The sequence below is a fragment of the Homo sapiens genome, chromosome 12, assembly GCF_000001405.40.
Source record: "Homo sapiens chromosome 12, GRCh38.p14 Primary Assembly".
Taxonomy (NCBI): domain Eukaryota; kingdom Metazoa; phylum Chordata; class Mammalia; order Primates; family Hominidae; genus Homo; species Homo sapiens.
The window spans coordinates 107,316,458-107,338,481 of record NC_000012.12 but is presented as its reverse complement, the minus strand read 5'-3'; the positions used below and the strand labels follow the sequence as shown (position 1 = coordinate 107,338,481).

The window sequence follows — 22,024 nt, the reverse complement described above, 5'->3', positions numbered from 1 at the left end:
CATTTGCCCAGACTGCCACTTATTTGGTAACATAGGGCAAGATACTTCACCCTTCCCACCCTCAGCTTCCTCTTGTGTGAATTAGGATACTAACGCCTACCCACTCTACAACATAGGGCTGTTGTGAATATTAATAGAAATAATTAACAAGACGCTGTAAATTATGGAAGTCTAAAGAATTAATAATAATAAGGCGTTGTGGGGTTCGAAATTACAGTCAGTATAGCCTGATTAATATTAAACATCTCCTCCTGTCTTACTGTGGCCCCCTTTTCAGTTTCATTCAACTGGCAGGTGAGTTTGGTCCCTGAGGAAGTGGAAAGAAGATACAGATTTGAGTTAGTCAGGAGGAACATTAGGTTAAACCGGCTCAGATAGAGTATTTGAATTAATTAGTATCACACTGTTCTGGGGAAAAAAAATGGTTCTGGTCTTTCCAACAACAAAACCAGGTTAGAAACTGACAGTGGCATGTCCTTTTCCCATTACACCAGTACCTGGCACTCCTAGGCACTGAACTATTTCCTGAATGAAGAATTAGAAGAGAGATGGAGAGAGAACAGCAAGACCACAAACAACGACTCATAAGAGGATAGACAAGTGGTTGCTTTATCTTTATAATTCTACATTGCCAATTTGATTAAATCAACAATTATTCACCTAATGGCTGATTTTCCCCCATGGAATTGACCGGCTGCCTTAACAACATCTAGACACAGTTTTGGTGTCATCAGAGCATTGAAGGAACTTTCAACGTGTCACACTGTGCCCTTACCGTATGTGGCCAACACAGTTAATGGGAGGGTCTGGTGATGATGAGCCAGGTGGCTGGGTGGGAACCTCAGCCCCTACATCCCCACTGCATGGCCTTGAGTATCTGTTAGCCTCTCTGAGTCAGCTCCTCAATTGTGCGGTGGAACTAGTAACACCGACATCATCGGTGGTGATGGAGCAACTGAATGAGATACTATTGTGAACGTGCTCAGTAGAATCTGGTACATGGGAACCAGCCACATTAATAAGTAGGAAGTGGTGTGAATCACAACTAAAGAAAGAGAACAAAGCCTTGTTTCCTTTTCCCTGGGGCAGCATGGCATCGTAGAGGCACCAACTGGGAATTCAGAGGGCTGAGATCCCGATCCAGCTGAGAAGGAAGGACTTTCCACCTTTAAAACAGGACTTCTATCGCCCACTAGACTCACTTGCCTGCCAGCAGCTGTGCAACCCCATACAAGTCTATTAATCCCCCTGGTTCTCAGGTGTCTAGCTTGCAAAATCCATCTGATACCCAGACTGAAGACAGCGGGGCTGCGCCCGGAGAATTGTGAAGCTTCTCTCAGCTCTAAGATCCAAAAGTCTATGCAGACACAGCTTTCAACTTTGGATTAGAACGAGGTGCCATCTCATGGGCTGAAACTGGGTACAAAGGGATAATGGGCAATCATTTCCTTTCTGTTCTTCAAAGAGAAGCAAGCTTTGAAAAGGAGCGTTGTTCAGGGCTGAGAATTCAGAAATATGCAGGAAGACTCCCAGCCAGTTAACCAATGGTTAGCAACAAGCTCTGGATTTGCCTGTTAGTGAAGCTCCATTAATTCACAGTTCATTTTCACAGGCTGCAAATATTTATTCAGGACATACTATACTCTGGCAGTCTTCTAGGTGTTGCCGGGATAGTAATGAATAAAACAGACAAATATCTGTGCTTGCATGAAGTTTACATTCTATGGTGTCATCCGCTGAACAGTATGTTGAAGTGCCTACTATGTGCCAGATGCTGTGCTGGAGACACAAGATGATCTGTAAAGACTGATAGGTTAGTGGGTCATTCAGTATAATCTGATGAGTGTTATAATAGAGGTTTTCTATGACTGGGGAATGACAGTCCCAACAATACCAGCCAACATGTATCAAGAACTCACTGCCACACACTAAGTGCTTATAGACGTCACGTCATTCTGTTTTATCCCCAAACACTCCTATGAGGTTACCATGCTTACAAGGGAGGAAACTGAGGCTCAGAGAGAACTGGCCCAAGGTGACTCAGCTAATAAGGGACGATGCTGGGATTTGCAGCCAGACTGTCTTCAGATCCTTGATGTAACTTCCATGTGATCCCTCCCCTTAAAATCAACCAGATTAGACGATTGAGTGGGTAAGTAACTTAAACTGTACAAGTCACAATATCCCAAAGTCATCATTTGCTCACGTCAGCGTTTGGGAATGCAGGACTGATCCTTTCTGTTTTCAACCTCAGACCTTTGAGAGCCATCAGGTGGATGTGCCAAGTTTGACAAATGACAACAAGCACTTTGGCATGGAAGGTTGGGAAGTGTCTGGCTGGACAGGCTATTTTTGGTTCAGAGATGGCTTTGATGAGTTCTACCTCTGCTCCCACCAATCAGCAATGCCACCTGGGAGGTGAGGATGCAGCAGTGAAGGAGGAACACGAACAAGCTTTGCATTGGGCGGGTGGTGGGGAGGGAGCAGAATTGCAAACAATTGTCGGGGCAGGAGGAGGAAGGGAGAGTCATCTTCAACTGTGAAGCATCCAGTTGTTGGACCCTGAATTCTGCCAGTTCAGTTTATTACCAATATTGGTTCTCCTCATGCCCTGTCTTCTCTCTTCCATCCCTGTTGGGTCCTGGAGCTGCAAAGGTTCCAAGCGCAGCACTCTTTCCCTCCCCTCCTGGCCCTACCTCACTCGCCTAGCCTCATTCAGCTGCTTCTCTGAGACTCAGCAGGACACTTTCCAAGCTTGTCTCATTGGTCAAAGCCAAAGCACACATCCACTGTGGGATCCCAGCTCCGTGGGTAGTCAGAGCCTCATGGGATGCCAGAGCAGGAAGGACTTGCTCATTACCCAGGCTAGTGCTCTTCAAACTCTACATCTTATTCAAAATCCCAGTATATATAAAACAGATACAAGAAGAAAAACTCTGCTGATGTGTGTGTACAGGGTGGAAGTGAGAAGCCTCCCTGCCTTAATCCATGAGAACCCAGATCAAAATCGTTGATTTGGCCTAATCCCCCTGGTTTATGGTTTATAGATGATATACTGAGGGCATTTTCCCTCTATCCCCTTAGGAAAACATCACAAATATCCTCAGAATCATTATGGTTAGTGTGGTTCCCAATAAGTACATCGATGCTGCTGCTTTTTTTTTTTTTTTTTTTTTTTTTTTTTTTTTTTTTTTTGAGACAAGGTCTTGATCTGTCACCCAGGCTGGAATATAGTGGCATGATCATAGCTCACTGCAGCCTCAAACTCCTGGGCTTAAGTGATCCTCCCACCTCAGGCTCCCGAGTAGATGGGATGACAGGTGCATGCCACCACTCTCAGCTGACTCTTTACATTTTGTATAGAGATGGGGTCTTGCTATGTTATCCAGGCTTGTCTCGAACTCCTGGCCTCAAGCAATCCTCCCACCTTGGACTCCCAAAGCACTGGGATGACAGGCGTAGGCCACTGCACCTGGCCTCAATGCTGCTTCTTCATGGGGTCTGAAACAGTCCCCAAGGGTTGCAGACAGAAATACTCACAGAGTTTGGGGGTACAATGGGAGTAACTACCTCAAATACCACCTGATGCAAGGGACCACTTCCTCCTTGGGGACACACTATCTTCTGTTAACTTCTAGGACATTCCCAGTTCTCCTCCACACTTGGCTGCTCCTTCTCAGCCTCCTCTGCTGGTTCCTCCTCTTCCATCTGGCCCAAGGAAGGGCTCTGTCTTTGGTCTTCTTGTCCCTTCTATACTCACTCCCGCTGTGACCTTGCCCACCTCATGGTTTGAAATATCATCCACATGCTCTCAACTCCCAAATTTTTATCTCCAAACCATCCTCTCTCCTGAATCCGAGATACTCCTAAATGAGTATCCAATGGCCTAGTTAACATGTCCTCCTGGACACCTAAAAGATACCTCGAACTTTGCATGTCCCAAGCTGGAGTCCTGATTTTCCTGCCATCTCCAAACCTGCTCTTTCCACGGTATTTCCCGTCTCAGTTAAGACAACTCCTCCTCGTTGTTCAAACCAAAAACCCTTCAGAGTCTTCCTTAACCCCCCTCATTCCCTCACACCCCACACCCAACGTATCAACAGGAGCTTGGTGAATCCACCTTTTAGTTACAGCCAGAAGCCTCTTCCTAGCCCACCTCCACTGCTACCACCCTGGCTAGGCCACCATCCTCTCCTGCCTGGGCTATTGGAAGAGCCTCCACACACTGGTCTCCCTGCCTGCACTCTTGTTCCTCTGGAGTCCATCTTCAACCAGACCTGCCAATCCTTATTCAAAACCTGCCATGGCTTCCCAGTTCACTAAGAACAAAAGCTAAAGTCTACAATGACCTATGGGGCCCTACCCAACCTGGCTTACGGTGACCCTGTGCTTTCACCTTTCATTACTCTTGGCTCACTCATGCTTCTCCACCACAATGGGTTCTTAGCTCTTCCCACCTCAGTGCCCTTACACTGGCTGTTCCCTCTGCCTGAAACAGTTTTCTCCCAGATACCAACATGATCAATTCCCTCACCTCCTTCATCTTTCTACACAATGTCATCTTTGGAGTGAGGCTACCCTGACCATGTTATCATTGCAACCATCCCCTACTCTCCCGATTCCCCTTACTCTGATTTATTTTTTCCATGGCAGGTGTCACCTTCTAACACTTTTACTTATTCAGTGTGTTTAGTACATAGGGTCTCTCCCACTAGAATGTAAGTTCTGTAAAGGCAATGATTTTTTTCTATGGACTGATGGATGCTAAGTATCTAGAACCATACCTGGTATATAGTAGGCTCTCGATAAATAGCTATTGAACAAATGATCGAATGAATGGTTATTTTACAGTTTACAGAGCACTTCTACATCTGAGGATTCCTTTGAGCCTCAAAACAATTCTGAGAACCTGGTATATTTCTTATCTCCATTTTTCTGATGAGGAAACAAGTCCAAAGAGGTTAAGTCACTTGCCTGAGATCAACACGGCTTGTTCTAGAGTGGGCCTCATGTCCTCTTCTGGCACTAAACCCTCAAGTGCTGTCTCATCTGACCACAACGATGAAACCTCTCCAAAGCCCAGGTCCCACCCAGCTCTCTCCTGCCTCCCTAAACTTGCACCCCAGCTTGCTGATGACTATACTTGCAGGTGCAATGTGTGGTCTGCTTATTTTGTCCCAGAGGAGCATATGAACTCACTCTGCTTCTCTACAGACCATCTGACTTAGATATACACTTCCAGGCCACCTTCTGACCCTAAGACCCTCCTCCAGAACATAGGAGGAAGAGTCATATGCTGCCCCAACCCCTGCCTTCTGTTTATACACAAAGAACAACTGGACATCCCATAAGGAATGAGGGAGGGGGTGAAAGCAGCAGGGATGGGTGGGAGAGACCCTTTGCAGATCAAGAAGCAGCTCCCCTTGTTCTTCCTTAACAACCGTGGGCTGAAATGTGAGGTCACTAAATGCAGCTTAATAATGGCTTCTAGTCTCCTACTGAGAAACTTCTTTCTGGCCTAAGCAACAGGCACAGCTATAGCAACTAGTTTATTGCTGTCTCATCTACCACATAAAGAATTGTGAGTCGGCTCATGATTGCTTCTTTTGCACAGGCTTCTGGGAAGCTCAGCAGTGGCAAATCTGTAGCCCAACCCTAGCAGGGCCAGTAGGAGAACAGGGCCTTCCTGCGGGTCACAACATCGCATGGCATGGCCTGGGGAGACTCACATCTTTTCCCCTCCTCCCCTCATGTGTACTCAGGCCTTGAGGCAGGATGGCCTGGGTTCAACCCCGGCCTCTGCTGCTACTAGCCACACAGTCTCAGGACAGCTGCCTCACTTCTCTGCCCCTGACAGGGGTGACATTACTCACCCCAGGTGCCTGGGTAAGTACTCCTCAGTCATCTTCCATGATTTCTGAGTCAGATCTCTCTCACATCCCATATTCCCTCCTCAAGGCACGGTGGTTAGGAACAGGCACCGAGAACCAGGGATGGAGTCCCCACTCTGCATCTTACTAACTGTAGGACTTTGAGCAAGTCTATCCATCTCTCCCAGGTGTCCTCATCTGTAAAACAGAGATGATAACCATATCTGCCTCATAGAGCAGCTAATGCTCTCCATTACCTAAAATGGTGCCAGGAGTGTGGCAAATGGTCAGAATGTGTCAGATTTACCATGACGATGTGCTGGGCTTCTTGGTTTTCCAAAGCATCGCCTCATTAGACAAGTCCAACTCTATCAACACCAGAACCTGGTGTGATCATTATTTCCAACTCCCATGTGAGGGCAATGAGGCTCAGAGAGGTCAGGAGCGTGAGATCACACAGCAGGAGCCCGCCCTCCTGGGCCTGAGCCAAGTGACGCCTTCCCATGCACTGTGGGGCTCAGGGAAATTCCTACCCCAGCACACGCTCCCAGCTGCCCCTCGAGGCTCCACATTACGGGGCCATCAGAGGCTGTGAAGGTGCCAGCTCACTCTTGGTCTGTTTCCTTAATCCATAGCTCTCATGCTGGGAGAGAGAAAACTTAGAGCAGCAGCCGAATCAGCGAGAGCAGCCAGCGGACCCAGGTGGGGAGAGGTGGGGCGGGGGGGAGGCCCCTGCCCTCCATCCACCATGGCTGCCGCAGCAAGCTGAACCAGAGGCCTATCATCTGGCCCCAACAATGGCAGCCGCAGAATGGCAGGAGCAGGACGAGGGTGGGGAGGGCTTCCAAAGGGAAGGAGATTGAGCAGAATCAGAGGCACTGACATGGGGATGAGATTCCCTGCTCTCCGCCCTCTGCCTGCCCTGGTGGTGCAGACTTCCGGGTGGGAAGGAGGAGCTCCAATCACCTGTGCACAGATCACACTCTTACCCACCCCATCCCTGCAGGCTTCCCCACCGCTTGTGTCACCACCAGCACCAGGTGGAGGAGGCTGACAAGGAGCCTTCCACCTCTGAATGCCTGGTGTCCCCGGTCCCCCCGGAAGCCCAAGGAAGGGGCAGCTCCCCTCCTTGCAGGCACCGCCCTGGACCTCACCCCGCAGTCTAAGGAGGCTTTGTCCCCATCAAACACTCCTGTCCCCGTGAACCTCTCCCGCGGAGCAACTGTCATGGGTGCAGTTTGACATCTGTGTGACTATCTGTGAGTAAACTAAACCCGCCTCAAGCCTGCAAGCTCCATGAGGGCGGGAAGCACCTGTGGCTTTGCTCACGAGGGTGAGCCCAGCCCCTAAACCTCAAAGTCAGTATAGAGAAGGCTGAAAGGGGCTGAGGGAGGAGTCAGAGAGAGAAAAAGGCTGTGCCACGTTCCCAGTACTTGAAATGCTCAGAAGCATCCAGAGAAAGAAAGGTAATTTAAGTCTGGTGTGCTTCTTGTGCACCTCATGACTCTCTGGGTGGTAACCTGAGCTGGGATTAGGAAGGAACAATGACACATACCACCCAGAGAAAATCAGTTAATCCATGCAGCCTCAACCTCAGAGGCAGGCACTGTACTTTAAGATTTCACTTACCCCTCCTCAAAGCTTCCTCTCTGATTTGCTTTTAGATATGAATGCACAGGGGAACTGTTAATTTGATTCTGCATTTAGCACACCTGATCTTCACAGTAATTGCTTTCAGTGGTTCAGCCACGATGTAATGGGGACCTCCACATGCTTCCAGACTAGCATTTATTTTACTGTGAGATGTATAGCAAAACCGGAGATATTACAGCAGGATCGTAAATTAATCTCCAAACTGCTGTCAACAATGCAGGCTTTCATCCCACTATGCTTCCCACGAGTGATCTGGTTTAGAGGAGACAATACATCACTGTGGATGGGAGATGGGCTCTAAAAATCCAGAAACCTGGGATACCGGTTCCAGCTCTGCTGTGTGATCTTGGACAAGACAGTAGCCCACTCTGGGCCTCAGTTTCCACATCTGTAAAATGTGAGCGTTAAACCAGATACTCCCTTGGAATGAGGCATGGTATGGTGAGAGGAAGGTCAAATTTGAAGTCCCTCAGACTTAAATTCTGTTTTTAAATTGAGTTCTCTACTTATTGTCTTAGCAACTTTGGGCAAGTGACTTAATGTGTCACAGCCTCAGATTCTTCTTGGGTAAGATGGGGATGATGACAATACCTAACCAGCCTTCCCACATTCACCCTTCCAGTCTGCTCTCTGAACTAATGCCAACATGATCTTTTTAGAACACAAATCTGATCACTGCATCTCCCTCCTTAAAAGCTTTCAAGGGCTCTCCAGTGCCCTCTATAAAAGCCTGCTTAATCTGGCAGATGCTTAGTCTAACCTCTACCAGGCTCCCTCCCTACCCTCTCCCATTCCAGCTGCAGTGGCCATTCTACCTTCCCCCCATGCTCTCCCCTGCCACAGGCCCTTTGCACATGCAGTTCGCATTCACCAAGTATTCTTCCTACCTTTTCCACCAACTTGGCCATGCTTCAGCCTCATTCCAGCCTCACTCAAGCCTCACTTCCCCATTTCCTTAGTGAAGCCTTACTCCCAACCACATCAAGAGCTGTGGTAAAGACTCTAATAGCCTGTATGTCTCTCCTTTGTTGCACATGTCACCAGTTGTAAATTTACATCTGCATAATTCTTTGATGAATAAATTAAACCCAGCACAGGCCTGCAAGCTCCATGAGCACAGGGACTGTGTTGCTCAACATTTAACACAGTGCCTATAGAAACAGTCATAATGAATATAATAAAACCCCACAATAGCCAACATGTATGAAGCAATTTCTACATGTCAGGCACTTCCCAACAGCCTTCAGAATTAGTTTTCACTATTACTCTCATGTAACAAAGGGAAAGACTGAGTCACAGAGAGGTTAGGTAACTTGCCTGACATCACACAGCTAATAAGTGGTCAAACTCCAGAAGTCTGTTTACTGACAAACTATAGAAGGCTTTTCAGTCACTCAGTAAATGAGGCAGCATCCAGGGAGCAGTTCTTTCAGCAAGGAGGCTGGCACTGCTTAAGCACTTAATAATAATGATGATGATTATTAACAGATATTGAGTACTTATGATGTGTCCAATATTATTCTAAAGACTTTTATATGAATTAACTCATTTTATTCTCTCAACGACATTTTCTTTATGAGGGAGCGCTACCATTACCCTTATTAAGCAGACGAGAAAATTGAGGCTGGGAAAGATGAACTGACTTGCCCAAGATCACCTGGCTTGTAGGCAATAGAGCCAGAATTTGAACCCTGGTCCACCTAACTCCAGAGTCTGGGAAAAACCCAGCTCTGTGATTCTCAGGGAGGACCAGCCTCAGTCTCCTCTGCAGTAGAAATGGAATCAATTCTCCTGTATGTCACAGTTTTCTGAATTCAGTTCTACTTGTCAGAGGGCCTGTGCTTCTTATGGCACTGAGCCCACCCAGCTAGGCAGGGTATGGGGGGAGCTGTCCCTGGAGACGATAAAGCCAGCTATTTCCCCAGGGCCTCCAGCTGAGGAGGCTACGCTGTGATCTGATGGACAGCTGGGAAGTGACTCATGGGGCAGCCAGGGAGAGGGGAAGCCGGCGGGGACTAAAAAAAGACCTGCGACCACATATTATGCGCAAGGACAATCATCAACCATAACCACCACCACCAAGGCAAGCCCCGCCCTCTACCCCACACGCCCCTCAGGCTGCACTTGAGTCCTTCTGGGATCCTCCTGGGGGCCCCTATGATCCAGATTTCACCACTGGGCTGCGGCAGTTCAGCGCACAGGCTTTTGAGCCCAAGTCCCAACTCAACCACTTTGTAGCTGTGGCATCCTGAACTAGTTGCTGAACTTTTCTGAGCTTCAGTTTCTTCCTCAGCACAATGGGGATAAGAAACAGTCATTTCACAAGAAGAGTGTGGAGATTAAATGAAGTCATGTGTGTGGAAATCCTGGAATAGTCCCTGGTTCAGCAACTGGTAGTTCCCCCTGTGGATAAAATGCAGGAGAAGGCAAAGAAGAAAAGACAGACACGTAATACAATTTTCCTGGAGCACCCACTCATTCAGATTGACATTTTATCTTTGCATCCATTCACTGTTAAACCACTCCACTTTCAGTATAGAATGATACTATCGATAATAATAAAGATAAAGATAACAGTTATTAAGTGCATATGAGATGCTAGGATCAACGTTTCACATTCATTATGTCATTTTGCTCCTCACAAGTATTCTATAAGGCAGTCTGCCAAATGCCTAATTCAAATCTGGCCAGCCACTTGCAAGCCATGTCACCTTAAGCAAATTCATTAAACCTTCTGTTCCTCAACTTCTTAATCTGTAAAATGGGGATAATAATAGCGCCTGCTTTGTAAGGTTGTTGAGGTGGCTAGCTCTATTAAATGCTTATGCCCCTCTGATAGTGTAGACTTGTGGCTGTGGGTGGCTGCCCTACCAGAGACCATAATTTTCAGTCCCCTTACATCTAGTGGAGGCCATGTGACTGAGTGCTGGTCATTGGAATGCGGAAGGAATTGACACACCCACACCCAGGACTGTATTATAATCCTCCACATTCTCTATCATCCTCAATCAGAGACATCTCCGGGAGTTATGCGTCCAAGATGGCAGAGCTTTCATCAACTTCCACAGACAGAGCACCTCTCTCCCCTGCCATCAGGTGGACTCTACATGAATGAGAAAGCAGCTTTCATTATGTTCAGCCACTAAGACGTTAGGATTCATGTGACACATCAGCTAGCATTACCCTAACTAATATAGAACTTAGTTCCAGAAGTGGGCTGCTTAAAACATGTGACATTGGCTTAGAAGTCAGGTAGCAGGTTATACTAGAGCCTGGAAAACTGGAGACCCATGTGATACAGAAGTAAAATGTCTCATTAAACTGTCATCTATGATAACTTGGCAGTCAGAGCTCATGCCTACTAAGCCTGTATGCTCTATAGAAAGAGACTGGAAAAAATAATGGTAATAAAGTTTGCTAACTGTTCCTGGCTGAGTTAAGTAAGGTACTAGGGAAAGAGAAGAACTCAGGCCTAAATTAACCAGTTTGAAAGTAATTTTAGAAAGGAATAGTGGAGAGGTAAAAACAGACAACTATGTCTAAACCCCAAACAATAAGACAAAAGAGTAAGAAGACATTTAAGTGAAATAAGTATCATATTAAGAATATAAGCTTCCCACCTAAGCCTGATGACCTCAAGGTAGCTGCCATTAAATTTAGAGAGAAAGACAGGTGTGGGGAAAAGGAAGTAATAATCCGGGCTTCAGAATTAAGTCTAGGAAATAACTCTGGGTGTGGCTACTGGCATATTAGACATCATAGATGAAAGTCTTACTAAATTGTTGAGGGAATTGCATTGCAAAATCTATAAACCTTAATTTTAATAGTCTTTTACTGTTACTGCATTAAAACAATCCTTGGGCCCCCAAAGGTTCAAGGGAAAGAACTAGGTCACAAAAGATTTAGAGCCCCCAAGAAGGCCATACTGCCCACGACCAACTTCAGGTGTGGCCACGAAAAATAACAAAGAAAATCCTCCCACCAGCACAGCTGAGAGGGTGGAGAACAATGAACTAGTAAATTCCCATCAGGAGAAGAATCAGGACCTAATCCAGGAACTTCACCCACTGCTAGGATACAACCCCACAATGCTTGTTTGGCAAGATTTCATCACTACTGAGGACCAGTGACTGCTGTGTATGTACCTTCCATGATTATCTTTTCCAAATGGGAGTTTCATGATGGTTATCCCACCCTGCTCAGATGTGGGATATGAATGCAGAGTGGCAGATAATATGTTTGTTTTGCCTCATGGGTCCCTGGACCATGGTGAGGTGCCACACTCAGCTTCATGGATAGGACTATCCATGACTCTGAACTTTAAGTTGGAAGCAGGGATCAGAAAAAATGTGGGTTCCTCCCTTAGGGAAAAGAGAATGTGTTTTGTGCATAGGAAGAAGGAGGCACACATGTATTGGTGGTCAGAGAGCCAATGATACATCTGGTCAATGATATGTGAACACAAGCAACGTTAAGTCCCTCCAGGCTTAGCCTGTACCACCTTTCTTAAGCTCCTCCACACTCACTGTCTCCCTCTACCTACTGGCTGGATGAATGCCCAAGAAAGGTACTGAAGGCCACACGTAGAAGATAAAAAAGGCAAACTCTCCATTAATCAAGCTTGGTACCTAAATGACCCTCCTACCTCCTCCAACCCCACTCCTCTCCCAATCAGAGTTTAAGTGTATAAGAAATGAATTTCTATTGTGTTAAGCTACTGAGATTTCTGAACTGTCTTTAATAATAGCTGATGAGGCTAGGCACGGGGGCTCATGCCTGTAATCCCAGCACTTTGGGAGGCGGAGATGGGTGGGTCACCTGAGGTCAGAAGTTCGAAACCAGCCTGGCCAGCATGGTGAAACCCCTTCTCTACTAAAAATACAAAATTAGCTGGGCATGGTGGCGCATGCCTGTAATCCCAGTTACTCAGGAGGCTGAGGCAGGAGAATATCTTGAACCTGGGAGGTGGAGGTTGCAGTGAGCTGAGATTGCACCATTGCACTCCAGCTTGGGCAACAAGAGCAAAACTCCATCTCAATAATAATAATAATCATAGCTGATGTAACTATAATGATTATAATACATAAAGCTCTTAAAATAGTGCCTGGCATATAATAAGCTATACAAGTAGAGCTGTTTATTATAATACCCATTTTACAGATAGGGAAACTGCAGCTTACAGGTGTGCCTGACTCCAGAGTCAATTACTATTTTGTATTTACCTCTCAGTAGATAATAAGTCTGGTAATAATGAGTTTGGTGCCTGGCTCAAGGTCACAAATACTAACAGACTCAGAATTAGAGGCCTTCCTTCTATTCAAAGTTCATCAACTCCACCCTTGACCCTAGGTCTTCAGGTTAGTCCTTCATTGTTTTTATTTTGTTATTTTTATTTTATGTTTCAGGAAAACACCCAACTTGCAAATGCCCCAGCACTGAACTAGCAAGTCTGCACAGAAAACCAAATCACCCTCTACTGACCCAAATTCCAAGTTTTAATTTACATCAAGCCAGTTAATTAAAAAGGTGCTCTGTGAGCACAGATACTGCTACAGCTGGCTCTTGAGATAGCATTTGTTGTTCCTCTTAAGAAGATGGGTTCCTTCTGTGACATTTTTGGTCCAACACAGCAACACTGCTCAACAGAACAGCATGACCAGTTTAGGGACAGGAAAACGGCTGAGCAAGCATTTTGTGCAGAGACAATAGAAAAGCAAGAGACCTGAAAACCAACCTACCCTCCAAGCCCGTGCTGACAGGTGAGGGCTTGTGTTAATTAATGTTTATTAAGTGATTGGGGATCCCTGAAATGAAAGAGACTATTCAAAATCCCACAAGTATTATTGTTATCTCCAGCCTGAATAATCTGTTTTTTGAGGAAGCCATTATTATCGAGTGCCTACTATGTGGCAGGTGCTTTTATAAACTGTATCTGATTTAATCTTTGTAATCGCCCATTGCGTTCGGTTTGGGTTTTCTTCCTTTTTAAAATACATCTTCTTTTGTTTTGTAATCCTCACTGTACAGATGAGAAAACTAAGTTCAGCAAAATTAAGTCACTTGCTAGAGAATGGTAGAGTGAAAATTTGGGGTTAGATCTAAGCGTAAGGTCTTTCTCCCTTTCCTTTTCATCATTCCATACTGCCTCTTCTGGTCTGCCCTTCAAATTGTACATTTAAAACAAAATTTAATTCAAGAATGCCTATGGCTTTTTTTTTGGTGTGTCTTTTTTTTAACTGAAGTATATTTCACAATACAGTAAAATGCACAAATACTAGGTTTACCATTAGATACCAGCCTGGCCAGCATGGTGAAACCCCGTTTGACAAATGCATATACCTCTGAACCCACATCCCAATTAACATAAGGGACTACATCCAGAAAGTTTCCTGGTGCCTCTTCACTAAAGGTAGATATCATTGAAGTTTAAAGTACAGCAAATAAAATAAGCTAACTTAATTTTATTTTATTTTATTTTATTTATTTATTTTTTGTAGAGCTGAGATCTTACTATGTTGCTTCAGCTGGTCTCAAACTCCTGGCCCCAAGCAATCTTCCTGCCTCAGCCTCCCCAAAATAAGCTATTTTCCTTTGACCAAAACAATCTTTTTGTGACCCTGGCCACAGGGCTGTGCCCATGGCATCAATCCTTGAGGTGGGTGTACTGAGTTACTTGGTGCTATAATAAAAAGGAGGATCCAGTTAAAATTCTGTGCCTTGTTGGCTCCATCCACCCTAAGCATGTGGGAATGAATTAATCTGGATGTGATAGAGATGAGATACCATTGTGCCTGGATTATCACAACTATCATCATCATTTTAGCACCTACCATGTGTCAGCACCAGATTATAATAGGCTTAGACACATAATCTCATTTAATCCTTGTAATTATTACCTCTGTTTTACAGCTGAGGAAACTGGAGGACAGAGAGGTTGGGTCGCATACCTAAGAACACACAGCTAGAAAATGGCAGCCTTGAAATTCAAATCCTAGAGGTCCAACACCAGAGGCCATTCTCTTAACAACTGCCTTTACAGGTGATAGGCAAATTTTAAATGCCTAAAATTGAATGAGCTGGTTATATTCGTTTAACAAGCAGTAGAGAGTATCTGTTATACAAAGTGCCAGGCACTGTGCTGAGTGATATGGAAGGAGACACAGAGATGAATAAGAATGGAGAAGGGGTTGCATCAAGGAAGCCCTCACAAGGAAGCCAGGAAGACCAACTCATTCTTGAAGCCAAGTCTTCAAGGATGAGTAGGAACTGGCCAGCTCTAAAGGAGTTTAAGGTACAATGACTAGCACATACAAAGGCACAGTGAAGTACTTCTGCCCCCTCCTTATTTAGCTCAATCAAGTCAAATTTTTAAAACTCCACAGAAACATCAATGGGGTCCCTTAGCTGTTTCCCCGGCTCTTCAAAACAGCTGAAAATCAACACAAAACTCCAGTTCTGAAAAGTTTTTACATAACCACAAAGTTCATGCCCACAGCAAACCCATGGATGTGATTTTCGAGAGCCCCTAAGCCTTCTTTTGCTTTAGAGCCAATTATCTTTTTTTTCTGAATCCAGTCCCATGTGACTAGTTTCACAATTCCTTAGCCTGGGCAGTTTAGCAGCAGCAAATTAGAAAGGTGGACAGGTACAGAAATGGCAGTAAGAAGGGGCAACCAAGGAAGAAGAACTTGGAGCCAGTGCCTGCCTGTAGTCCCAGCTACTCGGCTGAGGTGGGAGGATTTCTTGAGCTCAGGAGTTCAAGGCCAGCCTGGGCAACATAGTGAGACCCCTTCTTTAGAACAACAATAACAACAAAGTAGAAAAACTTGCAAAGATGATTCAAGAAACTCAAAAAGCAATAGCTTCTTTCAGGACATCATTGTATAATACAGTACAATAGCTTGCTCAACTCAAAAAGGTATCTAATAAGCTCCAACTGTGTACTAGGGCCTCTCTTAGGCTTAGCAGGGGATAGAAAAACATGAAAAATCCAGTTCTGCCCAGTTCCATTTGATAGGAACAAAAAGTATATAATTCAGGAATTATATGACAGGAAGGGTCTCTGTTCACCTGTGTGGGTAATAAAGGGCAGGTGGGATGCCTGAAGGCAGGGAACTCATCTGTCACTAAAGAGTCATACAGACAGGAGTTAAGAGTACGGACTCTGGAGCCAGGCTATCTGCATTTAAATAAGCAAGATACTTAAGTTCCCTATGCCTCAGTTTCTTCCTGTATATAATGGGTACTGGGGATCAAATGGGTCAATATACAGAGCCCTGCTGGATACATGTTAGCTGTTATTACCTCTTACCCAGCACTTGCTCAGACCCTAGAATTCGGCAACTGTAATAAGTTTCGATAAACAAATGAATTCACAAATGAATAAATAAATGATGCTACCAAGTTAAAGGAGGGAAAATCTATTATGTAAGGTATGTTGTCCTTAATAAGGCTTGCAGATCAGAAAGACTCCGTACAAAATAGTTTAAGAAATAGGTTTGATGTTTAATGTATGATTCCAATACCTAAGGAATTAATCACTCATTCTTTAACTCTTCTGCATATTCAACCTGCCATTTTAAACAAGCCCAAAGAAAAGGCATGAAGAGATCACAATGAAATCATAGTATATCTCATACCCAGAGGAGGCTGAAGGGGCCCCGAAACCCAAGAGTTAAGCGCTGTGGTGTGGGAGAGGTTGTGATGGCAGCAAACCCCAACCGTCACACACTCACCCTGCCCAAAACCAACTCTGTGGTCTTCTCCTTCCTTAAATTATACTTCCTCCAAAAAGGGTAAACACAAAAACTGTTTTTAAAAGTTGTTAAGGTTCATAAAAGTAAAACCTATTTGAAAAAATATAGAAGCAACTACCACAGAGCTACAAGAGGACCTGGGGGTGTATTACATATCTAGCCCCCTATTTTACAGATGAGGCAACTGAGGCCCAAAGATGTAAAGTGACTTGTCCAAACTCACAACTTCAGGATAATGGCAAAGGCAGAAGTAGGGCAGGGTGACCAGATTTCCACACTAGAGCCTTCCAAAGGAAATACTGAGGGAGAAAAAAGAAGAGGTTCCAGGCCCAGAAGGTGGGTAAGGAGCTGGGAGTCAGGGGCAGCAAAGAGTAAAAGATGATTGTCATGGGAGCCACCAGGAAGGAAATTAAGCCCCTCTGTGCTTTTTGGTGGAGGTAGGGTTTCAAACAAAGAGCAATCCAGTCCAAAGCTCCCAGGTTTTGCAGGTGAATCCCCGCATTCTGAAGAAGCACATACAAAGCCCAATGCCTTCTCCCCAGATGTTTCCATCTTAGTCGATATTTCAGGATGTGTGTGTGTGTGTGTGTGTGTGTGTGGCCTCGAAGATATCCTCTCTTTGAGGGTTGTGCCCTGGCTGGCAGCAGACGGGGAAGGGCTCTGGCAAAGAGATCCCGAAGAGTCTCCGAGATCAGTGCGGATTCCCCTCCCCAACACACACAAACACACACCCGCTTTGCTCCTTCCTTCCCCTCCCCCACTGACGATCAAATCCAGGTGAAGGGACCGAGGGCGGCAGGGTCGGTTTCCAAAGGCTTCGGCTGGAGCCGGGCGCCCTGCGCGCCCGCTTGTTCCTGCGCACACTCACAAGCACACTTACACACGCACAGACGCGCGCGCACACAGACTCTCACACGCACATGCACACCCTTGGCACCGCCCACCGCAGTGCTCCTCCAGCCCCCGGGAAACAGACAGGCAGCAACATGAATGAAATCTGCCCAGAAAGACTGCATTTCAGCTCCAACCGCGCAACCTCTGGCCAAACCGCCGAATATGTAACAAAGTTTTATTTCGCCTTTAGAGTCTCCAGTTACGTTTCTACCATTTCCTGTGGAAAATTGAAGCTTTGAAGTGTCTAGCTCCGGCTTTCGCAGACGGGCAGCACCGCCAGCGCGAGCTCTCGAAAACAAGCGCCCCGGCCCCACCCCCTTCAAGGACAGAACTGCGGGTTCAAACCTACCCAAGTCAGGCCTTCAAAACAGTGGGGCATGAAGAGACGATGATAGAACCTGCTGGAAACGACGCCCTAAACTAACAACCCCCTCCAGAACTGCCCCCCGCCAGCTCCATCCTGCCCAGATCCCCAGAGGCGCTCCTTCAGCCAAGTGGTGAGAGCTGCAGCTCCCTGCCAGAGGGAATGGAGAGGCCAAGAGCTGGGAGGCTGGAATTGGGGGCTTTGTCCATCCCGCAGCCCCCACCAGCTGTGTGCTCTAGCCCTCAAAAACTGCTCTGGAAAAACTTGGCACCGACAAGTCTTCCCGCACCCCAGTCTCACCACACACACCTTTACGACTGTCTAGGCCGTGCAAGCTTTCAACCATTCAGCCGGTACGGCCGCCAGGCCCCTCCTTCCCCCGTGCACTGCGTGCCCCCCGAGGGAGTGGGGAAGTGGGAGCACTGGATTGCGGAGAGCGGAACGCGCCTCCTCCCAAGTCCTAGGGAGCCCAATTCATGCGCCCAGGGAAGTGGCATCTTCAAGGTCAAAACAAACAGTGCAGGGGTGGAGTATATGTACTAAGCGCAAATGATCTCAACCCTGCTCCAAAAAATGGTGCTGGGTTTTGCTCACTGCCTGCTGGAGGCAGCTGTCGCCCCGCCCCGCACCGGGGGCGGAACCTCGCGCTCCCGGACCTGGGACAGCACCAGCAGCGTGAAATACGCGCACCCGAGTGCAGGAGCAAACAGGCAACCTCTTGTTCTGGCTACCTCCAGCCCGGCCGCCTCCTCAGCGGCTTGGGACAGCAGCGCGTGGCTGGGAAGACGCGGGAGGGGGACGCGAGGCAAACTTGCGCCAAGAGTTGGCCAGGTTAGGTGAGAGGGAGTGGCACCCGCGCAGACACTTACCGCTGGCGTTCTTCCCGCAGATCAGGTGCTGGTAGGGCTGCAGGAGACCCCAGATCTCCGAGTCGTTGTTGACCGTGTGCTCCAGGGTCTCCACGGTGAACTTGGGCGCCTCGTGGAGCGCATGGTGGTGGTGATGGTGGTGGTTGGCGGCGGCTGCCGGCGGGACTGCGGCGGCCGCGGCGGCCGGCGGGGCGCAACAGCTGCTGCCCCCGCTGGCGCTGCTGGCTGCGCTGCAGGCGCCGCCGCTCGCCGCTCCTCCCCCGGGCGCCTCCCGCTCTTTATCCGCCGCGGGGGCCGCACCAGGGCCCGAGCTCGGGCCTGGGCCGGAGCCCGAGCCTGACCCAGGGCCACTGCAGCTCCGGGGCACCCCGGAGGCCACGACCCGCGAGTAGATGTCCCGGAAGAGGCTCTCCATGCAGGCTGTCAGGTAGATGGCGGCGTGCTCGTGGATGCGCAGCGCCACGCGGCTGTCCACCATCCAGCGATACACGCGGCCCACGGAGAAGGTGAGGCCGCAGCGGGCCGACTTGCCGCGGCCCAGGCGGTCGCCGCCGGCGCTGCTCATGTTGTAGAGGGACAGTGCGGCCAGCGCAGCCGCCGTACAGTGCGCGGCCAGGCCCCAGGACAGCACGATCTCCATGGCGCTCTGGATCTCGTACTTGGTGCACTTGGCGAAGCGCAGGCTCAGGCGCTGCGCCTCTTTGGCTATGCGCACCAGCGCCCGGCTCACCAGCGTCGACAGCTTGGCCAGCGCGTCCTTGGGCAGGCCGCCGGGGACCGCCGGGCCTGCCCGGGGATCCCGCGAACGCAGCAGCAGCGCCTCCAGCTCCTGGAGAGTCCAGGGGACCTCGTCTAGGTCCGGCAGCAGCCGCGAGCAGTGCTGGCCGGCGCAGTCCAGCCCCTCGGAGTCTTCCACCAGGGCAGTGTTGACAGTGTCAAAGCTGTTGTGCCGGCTGTGCATGGAGTCAGCTAGAGGCGGCCAGCAGCTCCCGCCATACGGGGACGCCGGGTGCGAGTCGGAACAGCACAAAGACAAGTTGGAGGAGCGCACCGAGTCCGCCGCGCCACCATAACCCGAGTCCAGCGTCAGATCCTCCAGCGTTCTCACCACGGGCTTCTTACCTCTCCTGGCCATCGCTGCGCCACTTCATGCTGCAGCCGCCTGGGAGCCAAAGGGAAGGAGCGGCGAGGAGCAGCGAGTGCCGCGGGGCGCGGGGAGAGCCGAGTCCGCGCCGCCTTGGCTCACTTTTCCACTAGCCGCTGCTACCAACTGTTAGTACTTTCGGCTGCCTCCCGGAACTGCCGCCGCTGGAATATACAGAGCAGACCCTGGAGTCATCTTCCAGAGTCCGGGCCGGAGCTGGGCGCAATGGGGAGCGAGCCAGGCCGGGAAGGAAGCTCCCGCCGGGGCTTGCCCCTTTCTTCCAAAATAAAAAGTGTCTAGACCGCTCTTCCCTGAGCCCCGCTGGGCGCAGTAGCCACCGGGCGCCGGCCACGGTGTTCGTGGGACTGAGACCACCCCAGATGCCGCCGCCGCCGCAGCTCCGCGGGCAGCTGGCTCCCGGCTCCCGGCTCCCAGTTCCCGGCCCTGGTTCGCTCGGCGCCAGCCTGCCCTGCACCGGAGCGCAGCAGCGGCCGTGGCGGCTGCAAACCTTGCCGAACCCCAGCAAACCCCGGGCAGCCAGTGGGACGGGCGTATGCAAAGCAGGGGCGGCGGAGAGCCAGTGGAATCGGAGAATGCTAATTACCTCGCTTTTTTTTTTTTTTTTTAAATCCCTCCTCCCCATGCGGCCCCGCCCCTCACACACGCCCCCGGCGGACACCGAGGCTGCAGGAAGTGGGGAGCAGTGGCCAGGGACTTGGGGAACCCTTGCAAGCGTAGAGACGTGGATGCTGCCCCCTGCTGCTGTCCCTGCCCGCATTCTCCCGGAGGGTGGTGGGTTGGGCCGGTGACCTCCCCACCTAGGTGTGCTCTCCACCGCGGTTCACAAGGTGTCTGCCTGACGGTCGCTCTCTCCCCTGCGGTTCGCATTTCACTTTTTTCCCCCCGTAACACCTGAAACATGGTTTTCCTCCCTCTCTATTCCCACTTCGGGTACGCAAACCAATTAGTGCGGCCCTCTTTCAGCCGGGGTTTGCTCCAGCATGGAGGGAAATAAGCCTGTCGAGCGGAGGCCCGTGGCGGTGGACACCACTGGGAGGCCGGATCTCCGGCCATTCGCCACCTGCCACTAGGGCGCGTTAACTCGATTCCTTTCAGTAGCCAGGAGGACCCTGTCCCTGCTTCAAAGTCCTGGGCGTGTGCTGCAGGGAGGGCTCAAGCACCACTTTGCCATCCTGGTGGGCATCTTTCCAAATAGCTCGGCCTTCTTAAAAGGAGTAAATTTGCTCAAAGGAGAATCTTCTTTCCTGACTAAAGAAAGATATAATATATATATGCATGGCTTAGCTGCATTCCTGTGTCAAATAGCATCGTGTCATCTACTTGTCTGTCCCCACCCACCCAGGCAGAAACCATATCTTACACACATGGGGATTCCTAGCTCCGCACACTGTGTCTCTCAGCTTAGAATCCCCTCCTATAGGAAGCTGGCCCAGATGTTTCAAGACTGGCTTCGGTGCTTCCACTGCCTCTATCCCCTTCTGTGGTTGCTGATTTCTGGGCCCTTGCAACACTAGGTTGCAAAAGCCTGGTTACTTGTCTGGATTCTACACTGGGCTAGGGGTTCCCATGCATAGTCCTGGCACAGTATAAGTGCTCAGTAAATATTTGTTGTAAATTGATGAAGGACGTAAGGATATGCTTTTAAATTGTTGCTTTGAATGTTCAACAATGGCCAACAGGTATATGCAAATATGCTCAACATCACTAATCATTCGGGAGATGCAAATCAAAACCACAATGAAATATCACTTCACACCTGTAAGGATGGCTATTATCAAAAAGTCAAAAGATAACAAGTGTTGGCAAGGATGTGGAAAAAAGAGAACCTTTGTACACTGATGGTGGGGTGTAAATGAGTACAGCCATTATGGAAAACAGCATGGAGGTTCCCAAAAATAAAAATAGAACTACCATGTGATCCAGCAATCCCACTTCTGAGTATACACCCAAAGAAAATAAAATCTCAGTCGAGTGCAGTGGCTCTCGCCTGTAATGCCAGCACTTTGGGAGGTTGAGGCGGGCAGATCACTTGAGGTCAGGAGTTGGAGACCAGCCAGACCAACATGGTGAAACCCCATCTTTACTAAAAATACAAAAATTTGCCAGGCATGGTGGTGCACACCTGTAGTCCCAGCTACTCGGGAGGCTGAAGCACAAGAATTGCTTGAACCCAGGAGGCAGAGGTTGCAGTGAGCCAAGATTGCACCACTGCACCTCAGCCTGGGTGACAGAGTGAGACTCCATCTCAAAAGAAAGAAAAAAAAAAGGAAAAGAACATCTCTGTCTTGAAGGGAGAGATGCACTTCCATGTTCATTGCAGTTTATTCACAATAACCAAGATGTGGAAACATATCTAAGTGTCCATCCACAGATAAATGGGTAAAGACAATGTGGTGTGTATATATCTGCAATGGAATATTATTCAGCTCTAAAAAAGAAGGAAATCCTGTCAT

At 48.5% G+C, this 22,024-nt stretch overlaps 1 protein-coding gene across 5 annotated transcripts in view, besides 1 other annotated feature; it reads right to left on the bottom strand.

Moving 5' to 3' along the window:
* Positions 1 to 20,048, bottom strand: part of ABTB3 (ankyrin repeat and BTB domain containing 3) — a 341,209-nt gene extending 321,161 nt beyond the window's left edge. For 3 of the 5 annotated variants that reach the window (NM_001018072.2, NM_001347943.2, XM_047428301.1), the window contains exon 1: positions 18,407 to 20,048. In NM_001018072.2, coding sequence (NP_001018082.1) covers positions 18,407 to 19,541 — 1,135 coding nt within the window. In that variant the 5' untranslated portion in view covers positions 19,542 to 20,048. Of the gene's footprint in view, positions 1 to 17,846; positions 18,355 to 18,406 lie in introns of those variants that run through there. The other 2 variants (XM_011537910.4, NM_001347944.1) reach the window with 2 other exon arrangements.
* Positions 18,827 to 19,546: an enhancer, noted in NCBI's record as "H3K4me1 hESC enhancer chr12:107712713-107713432 (GRCh37/hg19 assembly coordinates)". NCBI's record gives its function as "activates a minimal SCP1, AML or CMV promoter by ChIP-STARR-seq in naive H9 embryonic stem cells {active_cell/tissue: H9 hESC(naive)}" and the evidence as "EXISTENCE:reporter gene assay evidence [ECO:0000049][PMID:30033119]".